Consider the following 12,039-nt stretch of genomic DNA (forward strand, 5'->3'; position numbering starts at 1 on the left):
TCACACACAAAAAAAGTACCTTCATAAGAACCAAAAATCAGGTGAGTGATCACAGTACCTGGTTTTAATTTCATATCACAGAAAGAGGCATTGAAGAGGGTAGGAAAGACAGTCTTGAATCACTGGCACTACCCCTCCCCATCCCCCAGCAGTGGCTGCATGGTACAGAAACAGAATCTGTGTGCTTGGGGAAGTGACAGCACAGTGATTGTGGGACTTTGCTTTGGAACTCAGTGCTGCCCAGTCACAGCAGAAAACAACACCAGGCAGAACTCAGCCAACACTCTCGGAGGTAGCATTTAGACCAGCCCCAACCAAAGGGGAATAGTCCATCCCAACAGTCTGAACTTGAGTTTCGGTGAGCCTCGCCACCACAGGCTAAAGTGCTGTGGGGACATAAATAAATTTGAAAGGCAGTCTAGGCCACGAGGACTGCAACTCCTAGGCAGGTCCTAGTGCTGTGCTGGGCTCAGACCCAGTGAACTTGTGGGGCATGTGACCTAGTGAGACACCAAGCCGGGGTGGCCAAGGGAGTGCTTGTGCCTCCCCACCCCCAACCCCAGGTAGCACAGCTTGCAGCTTCAAAAGACACTCCTTCCTTCTGCTTAATGAGAAGGAAGAGTAAAGAGGGCTTTGTCTTGCAACTTGGATTCCAGCTCAGCCACAGTAGGATCTGGCACTGGACAGGGACCTGAGGCACTCATTCCAGGCCCTAACTCCCAGATACATTTCTAGACATTCCCCAGGCCAGAAGGGAGCCTTCTGCCTTGAAGGAAAGAACCCAGTACTGACAGAACTCATAACCTGCTGACTGAAGAGCCCTTGGACCCTAAATAATCAGCAGCAATAATGAGATAGTACACACCATGGGCCTTGAGAGAGACTCTGAGACGTGCTGGCTTCAGATGTGACCCAGTACATTCCTAGTTGTGATGGCTATGGAGAAATACTCCTTCTTCTAGAGAAAAGAAGAGGGAAGAGTAAAGGGGACTTTTTCTTGCAGTTTAGGTACCAGTTTGGTCACAGTAAGGTAGAGTACTAAGCAGGCTCTTGGAATCATTGATTCTAGTCCTTGGCTCTTGGGTGGCATTTTTGGACTGCCCTGGGCCAAAAGGGAGTCCACTATTCTGAAAGGTGAGTCCCAGGCCTGGAAGCATTCACCACAAGCTGACTGAAGAGCCCTTGGGCCTTGAGTGAACACTGGTAGTAGCCTAGCAGGACTCCTCATGGGTGTGTGGTGGTGGTGGCCATGGGAAGATACTCCTCTGCTTGTCGCAAGGGAAGGGAAGAGTGGGAAGGACTTTGTCTTGTGGTTTTGGTGCCAGCTCAGCCACAGTAAAATAAAGCATCAGGTAGATTCCTAAGGTTTCCGACTCCAGGCCCTTGTTCCCAGATGGCATCTCTAAACCTGCCCAGGACTAGGAGGAACTCACCACCCCAAAGGAAAGGATGCAAGCCTGGCTGGCTTTACCTGAAGCTGACTGTAGAGCCCTAGGGCCTTGAGCAAACATAGGCAGGAGTGAGGTAGTGGTTACAGTGGGCCTTGTGTGAGACCCAGTGCTATGCTGGTTTCAGGTCCAAACCAATGCAGTTCCAGCAGTGGTGGCCACAGGGGTGCTTGTGTCACCATTCCCCTAGCTCCAGGCAGCTCAGCACAGAAAGAGAGACCCCATCTATTTGAGACAAAGTAAGGGAAGAGAATGAGAGTCTTTGCCTGGGCATCCAGAGAATTCCTCTGGATCTTATCCAAGACCACTAAGGCAGTACTCCTATGAGTCTAAAAGACCCACAGCATTACTGGGCTTGGGGTGCCCCTTAATGCAGATATGACTGCAGTGACCAAAAACGTAGATCACAACACCCAAGTACCTTCAAATACCTGGAGAGCCTTTCCAAGAAGGACAGGTACAAACAAACTCAGACTGTGAAGACTACAATACCTAACTCTTCAGTACTCAGACACTGATAAATATCCACAAGCATCAAAACCATCTGGGAAAACAAAATCTCACCAAATAAACTAAATAAGGCACCAGAAACCAATCCTGGAGAGACAGTGATATGTGACCTTTTAGACAGAGAATTCGAAATAGCTGTTTTAAGGAAACTCAATGAAATTTAAGATAACACAGAGAAGGAATTCAAAATCCTATTGATAAATTTAATAAAGAGATTGAAATAATTTAAAAGAATCAAGCAAAAATTCTGGGGTTGAAAAATGCAATTGATATACTGAAGAATGCATCAGAGAACTGATCAAGCAGAAGAAAGAATTAGTGAGCTTGAAGATAGGTTATTTGAAAATACACAGTTAAATTGTCATCAGTTTAAAATAATGGGTTATAAGATATTATTTGCAAGCCTCATAGTAACCTCAAATTTAAAAAAACATACAATGAATACACAAAAACTAAAAAAAAAGAAATTAAAATACATCACCAGAGAAAATTACTTTCATTAAAAGGAAGACAGGAAGGGAGGAAAGAAGTAAGAGAAGACCACAAAACAACTAGAAAACAACACAATGGCAGGAGTAAATTCTTACTTATTAATAATAACATTGTATGTAAATGGACTAAACTCTCCATTCAAAAGACACAGTTTCTGAATGGATTAAAAAAAAAAACCCAATGATCTGTTGCCTACAAGAAACATACTTCACCTATAAAGACACACATAGACTGAAAATAAAGGGATGGAAAAACATATTCCATGCAAATAGAAACCAAAAAACAACAGTAGTAGTTATACTTACATCAGACAAAATAGATCTCAAGACAAAAACCATAAAAAGAGACAAGGAGGTCTCTTTATAATAGTAAAGAGGTCAATTCAGGAAGAGAATATAACAATTATAAGTATATATGCACTCAACACTGGAGGACCCAGACATATTAAGCAAATATTATTAGAGCTGAAGAGAGCTCTAGACCCCAATACAATAATAGCTAAAGACTTCAACACCCTACTTTCAGCATTGGACAGATCATCCAGACAGAAAATCAACAAAGAAACTTTGGACTTAATCTGCACTATAGACCAAATGGGCCAAAATTAATAAAAGAAAAGAAATAATAATGATTAGAGCAGAAATACATGAAATTGAAACAAAGAAAACAATTCAAAAGATCAATAAAGTGAAAAGTTGGTTTTTGAAAAGATAAACACAATTGACAAATATTTAGCCAGACTAAGGAAAAAAATAGAGAACACCCAAATAAAATCAGATATGAAAAAGGAGACATTACAACCAATGCTGCAGAAATTCAAAGGATCATTAGAGGTTACTACAAGCAACTATATGCTAATAAATTGGAAAACTAGAAGAAATGGATAAGTTCCTAGATATATGCAACCTACCAAGATTAAACCATGAAGAAATCCAAAACCTGAACAGACCAATAACAAGAAATGAGATGGAAGCCACAATAAAGATTCCCAGCAAAGAAAAGCCTAGGACCTGATAGCTTCACTGCTGAATTTTACCAAACATTTAAGGAAGAACTAATACCAATCCTACTCAAACTGTTCTGAAAAATAGAGGAGGAGGGAATACTTCCAAACTCATTCTATGAGGCCAGTTTTACCCTGATATCAAAACTAAAGACACATCAAAAAAACAAAAACAAAAAACAAAATACTACAGGCCAATACCCCTGATGAGGGCTAATGCAAAAATCCTCAACAAAATACTAGCAAACCAAATTTAACAACACATTAGAAAGATCATTCATCATGGGCAACTGGGATTTATTTGTGGGATGCAAGGATGGTTCAACATATACAGATCAATCAATGATCACATCATATCAACAGAATGAATGGCAAAAAACATATGATCATTTCAATTGACGCAAAGAAGTGTTTGATTAAAATTCAGTAACGCTTCATGATAAAAGCCCTCAAAAAACTGGTTATAGAAGGAGTATACCTCAACATAAAAAAAGCCATTTGCAACAGACCCACAGTTAGTATCATACTGAGTGGGGAAAAACAAGTCTTTCCTCTAAGGTCTGGACCATTACAAGGATGCCCACTTTCATCACTGTTATTTAACATGGTACTGAAAGTCCTAGCTAGAGCAATCAGACAGGAGAAAGAGATAAAGGGCATTTATCTCACTTGGAAAGGAAAAAGTCAAATTATCCTTGTTTGCTGATGATATGATCTTATATTTGGAAAAACCTAAAGGATCCACCAAAAAACTATTAGAACTGATAAATTAAGTAAATTTGCAGGATACACAATTAACAAAGAAAAATCTGTAGCATTTCTGTATGTCAACAGCAAACAATCTGAAAAAGAAACTTAAAAAGTAATTCCATTTACAATTGCTACAAATAAAATTAAATACCTAGAAATTAACCAAAGAAGTGAAAGAGCTCTACAATGAAAACTATAAAACATTGATGAAAGAAATTAAAAAGGACACACAAAAAATTTGAAAGGTATTCCATTTTCATGGTTTGAAAGATTGTTAAAATGTCCAAAGCAATCTATAGATTCAATGCAACCCCTATCAAAAAAATGACATTCTTCACAGAAATATAAAAAACAATCCTAAAATTTATATGGAGACACAAAAGACCCAGAATAATCAAAGCTATATTGAGGAAAAAAAAAAAAAAAAAAAACGGGAGGAATCACATTGCCTGACTTCAAATTATACTACAGAGCTATCATAAGCAAAACAGCCTGGTACTGGCATAAAAACAGACACATAGACCAACAGAACAGAAAAGAGAACACCAAAATAAATCCATACATCTACAGTGAATTCATTTTCAACAAAGGCGCCAAGGGCATACAATAGGGAAAGGACTCTTTCTTCAATAAATGGTGCTGGGAAAATTAGACATCCACAGGCAAGAGAATGAAACTAGACGTCTGTCTCTCACCATATACAAAGATCAAATCAAAATGGATTAAAGACTTAAATCTAGGACTACAAACTATGAAACTACTAAATTCAAACTATGAAAACATCAGGGAAACTCTCCAGGACATTGGATAGGGCAAAGATTTCTTGAATAATACCCCATAAGCACGGGAAACCAAAGGAAAAATGGATAAATAGGATTACATCAAATTAAACACCTTCTGCACAGCAAAGTAAACAATGAGCAAAGTGAAGAGACAACCCACAGAATGGAAGAAAATATTTGCAAACTATTCATCTGACAAGGGATTAATGAACAGAATATATAAGGAGCTCAAACAACTCCATAGGAAAAAATCTAATAATCTGATTTAAAAATGGGCAAAAGATCTGAATAGACATTTCTCAAAAGAAGACATACAAATAGCAAACAGACATATGAAAAGGTGCATAACATCACTGATCATCAGAGAAATACAAATAAAAACTACAATGAGATATTATCACATCCCAGTTAAAATGGTCTTTATCCAAAAGACAGGCAATAACAAACACTGCTGAGGATATGGAGAAAAGGGAACCCTCATACACTGTTGGTGGGAATGTAAATTAGTACAACCCTAGGAGACCAGTTTGGAGGTTCCTCAAAAACCTAAAAATAGAGCTACCAGCTATCCAGCAATCCCATTGCTAGGTATATACCCAAAAGAAAGGAGATCAGTATATCAAAGAGATACTTGCACTTTCATGTTTATTGCAGCACTATTCACAATATCCAAGATTTGGAAGCAACCTAAGTGTCCATCAACAGATGAGTGGATAACGAAAATGTGTTACATACACACAATGGAGCACTATTCAGCCATAGAAAACAATGAGAACTTGTCATTTGCAATAACGTGGATGGAACTGAAGGTCATTATGTTAAGTAAAATAAGCCAGGTACAGAAAGACAAACTTCATATGTCCTTACTCATTTGTAGGAGCTAAAAATTAAAACAATTGAACTCATGGAGATAGAGAGTAGAATGATGGTTATCAAAGGCTGGAGAGTGTAGTGGGGTGAAGGGAGGATGGTTAATGGGCACAAAAATATAAATAGATGAATAAGATATAGTATTTGATAGTACAACAGAGTGACTATAGTCTACAATAATTTATTATACATTTAAAAATAACTGAAAGAGTATAATTGCATTGTTTGTAATACAAAGAAAGGATAAATGCTTGAGGTAGATAAATACCCCATTTACCCTGATGTGATTATTATGCATTGTACACCTGTATCAAAATATCTCATGTACCCCGATATAGTTTGGATATATGTCCCTGCCCAAATCTCATGTTGGAATATAATCCCCAGTGTTGGAGGTGGTCCCTGGTGGGATGTGTCTGGGTCATGAGGGTGGATCCCTGATGGCTTGGTGCTGTCCTCAAAGTACTGAGTGAGTGAGTTCTCGGGAGATTTGGTTGTTTAAAGTGTGTCCTATCTCCACAACTCTCTCTCGTTCCCACTCCTGCCATGTGAAATACTTGTTTCCCCTTGGCCTTCCACCATGATTGTAAGCTACCTAAGGCCCTACCAGAAGCAGATGTTGGTGCTATGCTTCCTGTTAGCCTGCAGAAGCATGAGCCAATTGAATATTTTTTCTTTATAAATTAGCCAGTCTCAGGTATTCCTTTATAGCAATGCAAGAATGGCCTAACACATACCCCATAAATATATACACCTACTATGTACGCACAAAAATTAAAAATTGGGCAGACACAGTGGTTCATGCCTGTAATGCCAGCACTTTGGAAGGCCAAGACAGGTGTATCACTTGAGCTCAGGAGTTCGAGACCAGCCTGGGATACATGGTGAAACCCCATCTCTACCCAAAATGCAAAAATTAGCCAGGCATGGCCAGGTGTGGTGGCTCACACCTGTAATCCCAGCACTTTGGGAGGCCAAGGTGGGTGGACCACCTGAGGTCAGGAGTTTGCAACCAGCCTGGCCAACATGGTGAAACCCCATCTCTACTAAAAATACAAAAAATTAGCCAGGCATGATGGCACATGCCTGTAATCCCAGCTACTCAGGAGGCTGAGGCAGGAGCATCACTTGAACTCAGGAGGCAGAGGTTGCAGTGAGCCAAGATCGCACCATTGCATTCCAGCCTAGGCAACAAGAGGGAAACTCCATCTTAAAAAAAAAAAAAAAAAAATTAGCCAGGCTAATGGTGGTGCATGCCTGTGGTCCCAGATACTTGGGAGGCTGAGGTGGGAGAATCACTGGAGCCTGGGAAGTCGAGGCTGCAGTGAGCCCATGATTGCACCACTGCACTTCAGCCTGGGTGACAGATGAGGCCCTGTCTCAAAAAAAAAAAAAAAAGAAAAACTGGAAAAAAGTCAAAGAATGTGGGATTCAGCAGGGGGAATATATGTCTAATGAAATCTTTGGTTTAAAAAAATGTTCCAGCCAGGTGTGGTGGCTCATGCCTGTAATCTCAGCACTTTGGGAGGACGAGGTGGGTGGATCACCTGAGGTCAGGAGTTTGAGACCAGCCTGGCCAACATGGTGAAACTCCGTCTCTACTAAAAATACAAAATTAGCCGGGCATGGTAGCCCGCAACTGTAATCCCAGCTACTAGGGAGGCTGAGGCAGGAGAATCGCTTGAACCTGGGAGGCAGAAGTTGCAGTGAGCTGAGATTGTACCACTGCACTCCAGCCTGGGTGACAGAGTGAGACTCAGTCTCAAAAAATAAATAAATAATTTAAAATGTTCCCAATTCTAACTGGGAGACGAATACATTTTTTAGGCATTAGATTAAAAAGGATTTTAACTCACCGCTTCAGTGTCAATAGATGACGTATCAACATATATTACTAAAAAGAAGTAACAATGACTACCATTGCCTTAATCTTCCTTTTCATTTCTAGCATTATTATGTCCTAAATAGGTGGCTTGGAAACTACCCTTCATTTTCCAGAATAGCATAAAAACATCAAACGTACGTTACCACCAATACAGTGGGTGTCTTGGAAACCATGCAGGAGTCTTTAATCTCCTGGCCACAATTTTTTTTATTCTTTCTGGCAATTTTAGGGAGCTCACTAAGAGCCAAATGTTATCATAGTTTAGCCTAAGCAGAAAATAAAAGTCCCTTGAGAGCTTACCTTATGGTTTTTAATAAAGTGCTTTCTCACTTTCATACAAGCTAGACGAAGTTAATTAGTTTGGATATGAGAAGCTGTTCCCTGTCCTCTTTCCCCTCCAAGCACTAATTAATATTAATGAGTAAAAGGATAAAATTACTAAGTACTCCTATAATTGTACTCGTGGATCATTTCCATAGGATGATCCTGAAATCCAGATAAATAGGACTAAATGCAGACTATCAACCATGACAGAGTTGCCAGACCTTGCTATAGATTTCACTGAAAACCCTGATAAGAGGGCTCTCCCCACCTTTAGGAAAGGATTTAAGAGGATTATTTTCCAGGAACTGATTGATTTTCTAATAGTGATGTTCCCGCTTTCCCTTCCTCCTTATTGCTTTCTTTTTTTCTCCCTCTTTGGCAGGGAGAAGCAGCGAGATTTGAGATTCTGCCATGCAAATTATTTTAACTCTTTAGATGCAAAGCTTTCAGGCTTTTATCCCAATGCTTCATGAGACTAAGAAGACAAAAGAGAGCACCACATTTTTTTGTGAAGTGAAGCTCTTGAAGGAGGATGTCAACAATGTGGTAAAATGGAAAGCTGGTCTGCAGACTGAGAGATGATGTTAAGATTGGTAAAAAGCAAGGCCCAGGCTCCTTTGGCCGCTCCTGCAGGCAGCTGAAAGTCATCTTCTGCAAATGTCTCAAGCCCAGTTAGAGTTAAGGTGTTTTCAGCATATTAATTAGGCTGCCAGGCTTGAGACAAAGGAAACCCATGTCTCTAGGGAATTACATCACTCAGTTGTAACCACCTTCGCTCCCTGGTTCTGGTATCACTGGGACTGAAACCTGACCGAGAGATGTTTCATAAGGGTTAAACATTACTACTTTCCCACTGAATAGTAGAGTAAGGCATTTTGTGGAGATTCTGGGTCTGAAAAATGAGGAAAGACTGTAAGGAAATGAAAAGGTAGGCGTCTTTTAAAAGGCAATCTATTGTGTTAGAATAAAACCAATAGTCATTTGTAGCGAAATGTATATATACTCATGAAAGCTACACCTGTATGTATTAAGAAGCTTTAAAAACAGGAAGAAGGTCTATGCCATACATACTCAAAACGCTTTTTTTGTTTTTGGTTGGTTGGTTTTCTTTTTGTTATTGTTGTTTGAGATAGAGTCTTGCTCTGTCACCAGGCTGGAGTGCAATGGCGCAATCTCGGCTCACTGCAACCTCCACCTCCCGGGTTCAAGTGATTCTCCTGCCTCAGCCTCCCAAGTAGCTGGGACTACAGGCGCATGCCACCACACCCGGCTAATTTTTGTATTTTCAGTAGAGACAGGGTTTCACCATGTTTGCCAGGCTGGTCACGAACTCCTGAACTCAGGTGATCCACCCACCTTGGCCTCCCAAAGTGCTGGGATTACAGGCATGAGCCACCGCGCCCAGCCATACCCGAAAAGTTTTAAGCATCTTGGTTAACAAGATAAATAGGAGCTATATGGCTGACTGACAGAATCAGGGGAAAAAAATAACTCCCAATTATATTTACAAGTAATTAAAGATATGGCTAGAATGCATTCAAATGATGGAAAGTCTCCATAATATTTAAGCTCTGCCTGTTTCCCTCACAAATGTCTTCGTTACAGATTCTAGCCTCATTAAGAAAGCCACACAGAAATAAAGAGATTCTAAATAGGATAGTGGCAGAGCTTGGGAAGGGTTTGAGGGATAGTCTTAGGGTTATAAATAAAAACAATGGGCTGGGCGCGGTGGCTCATGCCTGTAATCCCAGCACTTTGGGAGGCCGGGGTGGGCAGATCGCTTGAGGCCAGGAGTTCAAGACCAGCCTGGCCAGCATGGCAAAACCCTGTCTCCACTATTAGGTTGGTGCAAAAGCAATTGCGTTTTTTTTGCCATTAAAGTAATGGCAAAAAAATGCAATTGCTTTTGCACCAACCTAATAAAAATACAAACATTAGCTGAGCATGGTGGTGCAAGCCTGTGTTCCCAGCTACTCAGGAGGCTGAGGCATGAGAATCACTTGATCCTGGGAGGTGGAGGTTGCAGTGAGCCCAGAACATGCCACTGCACTCCAGCCTGGGTGACAGAGTGAGACCCTGTTTAAAATAAATAAATAAATAAAAACAGTGGAGCAAGCCTTGAAAAACGCAGACCTGCTGTGTACCCCACAGCCATGCTCCAGATGCTTCCCCTGGTGGTTGCTGCTTCACTGCAGAAAACCTAGGATGGGAAGATGCTGGAGCTCTTCTGGTGAGATGATGTTGTGAACTGTCTTTGCTAGCAATTTACAAAGCCTGATACTTTGATAACTCCTTCTGTCCTTTGCTGCTTCCAGAAGGGTTTAGAACAGGTGGCCAGGGGAAGGGAGTTAATGCTTCATCCCATTTTTCTTTTTTATCCTCTTTATTGCTATTTGGACAAAGATGGACTATAGCTCACGAGTGCAGCCTAACCCCAAATGCTCTCGAAAGCAAAAAGGACTATGTAGAATGTGCACTTATTTATATTAAATGTTAATGATTCAAGCATTTCTTTACTGCAAAATGTTGTTTCTCTATGCCATGCTAAAATAATTCATAACTGTGCCCCCTAAGGTCAGGGTTAGCCAAATAAGTGACTGGCAATGAAGGATTAACTTCAGGGGCTCTAATTCTTTTCCTGTACTATTACCCTTCATTCCACAATTAAAGACAAAGTTTAAAAAACAATTATTTTCAAAAGAGAAAGAATATTACATTCACATTGAGTACATGACATAAAACTTCACTTTAAAAAATGAAAAGATGAAAAAGCCCTTCCTATGCCTTTATGCCTGTCTTTGTTCATGTGCCGGAATTCCATTCTTTCTTATTGGTTTCCTATTAAAATCTTACTCAAGGTTTTGACCGAACTAAACAAAATCTACATTCAGTAGATCCATTGGTTTTGCTCTTCAATCCATTACCATTTGGTTTTGCTGTTAGTATCCCTGGGTCAGAAGTTACCAGCAATGTTCTCCCCCAAAATCAGCACCTCGTTTTCAGGTCCCATCCAGCAGAAACTTGGCTACATTGAATTTCGGACAGCCTCTTATAAATTATAAAGTTCTATATTTCCTTGGCTTCTGCAATACCACTTTTCCCTGCTTTCTATTTGTCTTTTTTGTTGTTGTCTTGGCACAGGGCCTCACTCTGTCACCCAGGCTGGAGTGCATGGTGCAATCTTGGCTCACTGCAGCCTTGACCTACTGAGCTCAAGCAATCCTACCACCTTGGCCTCCCGAGTAGCTGGAACTACAAGCACACACAAACTTCATCCAGATAAATTTTTTTTTTTTGGTACAGATGGGGGTCTCATTATGTTGTGCAGGATGGTCCTGAATTCCTGCCTCAAGTGATCCTCCCACTTCGACTTCCCAAAGCTCTGTGGTAACAGGCATGAGCCATGCTACCTCACCTGTCCTACTTATATAAAAATCTCAACCCGAAGACTTACTTTTTTGTTTTTGTGTTTTGTTTTGAGACAGAGTCTCGCTCTTGTTGCCCAGGCTGGAGTGCAGTGGCTCGATCTTGGCTCCCTGCAACCTCCACCTCTTGGGTTCAAGCAATTCTCCTGCCTCAGCCACCCAAATAGCTGGGATTATAGGCACATGCCACCACGCCCGGCTAATTTTTGTATTTTTAGTAGAGATGAGGTTTCACCATTGTTGGCCAGGCTGGTCTCAAACTCCTGACCTCAGGTTATCCACCCGCCTCAGCCTCCCAAAGTGCTGGGCTTACAGGTGTGAGCCACCACACCTGGCCTAAGACTTAGGTGTTTAATAGAAGGAAGGAGTGTCAATGGAGTGCCCTCAGTGACTCCTCCCTGGCTAAAAGTAAGGAAAGCAGTAAGTGTGTGCGTGTGCATGTGTGTGTGCACACATCTCCACATTCTTGTAGATAGGAGTCTGTTTAGGCCAGACCAGCTATCCCAGCTATTTCTCTCCATATTTAAAGGGAGGGGACATGTGAGACTAG

At 40.9% G+C, this 12,039-nt stretch overlaps 1 annotated feature.

Moving 5' to 3' along the window:
* Window positions 548-1,048: an enhancer, noted in NCBI's record as "H3K4me1 hESC enhancer chr7:43086257-43086757 (GRCh37/hg19 assembly coordinates)". NCBI's record gives its function as "activates a minimal SCP1, AML or CMV promoter by ChIP-STARR-seq in primed H9 embryonic stem cells {active_cell/tissue: H9 hESC(primed)}" and the evidence as "EXISTENCE:reporter gene assay evidence [ECO:0000049][PMID:30033119]".

The sequence above is a fragment of the Homo sapiens genome, chromosome 7 (assembly GCF_000001405.40).
Source record: "Homo sapiens chromosome 7, GRCh38.p14 Primary Assembly".
Taxonomy (NCBI): domain Eukaryota; kingdom Metazoa; phylum Chordata; class Mammalia; order Primates; family Hominidae; genus Homo; species Homo sapiens.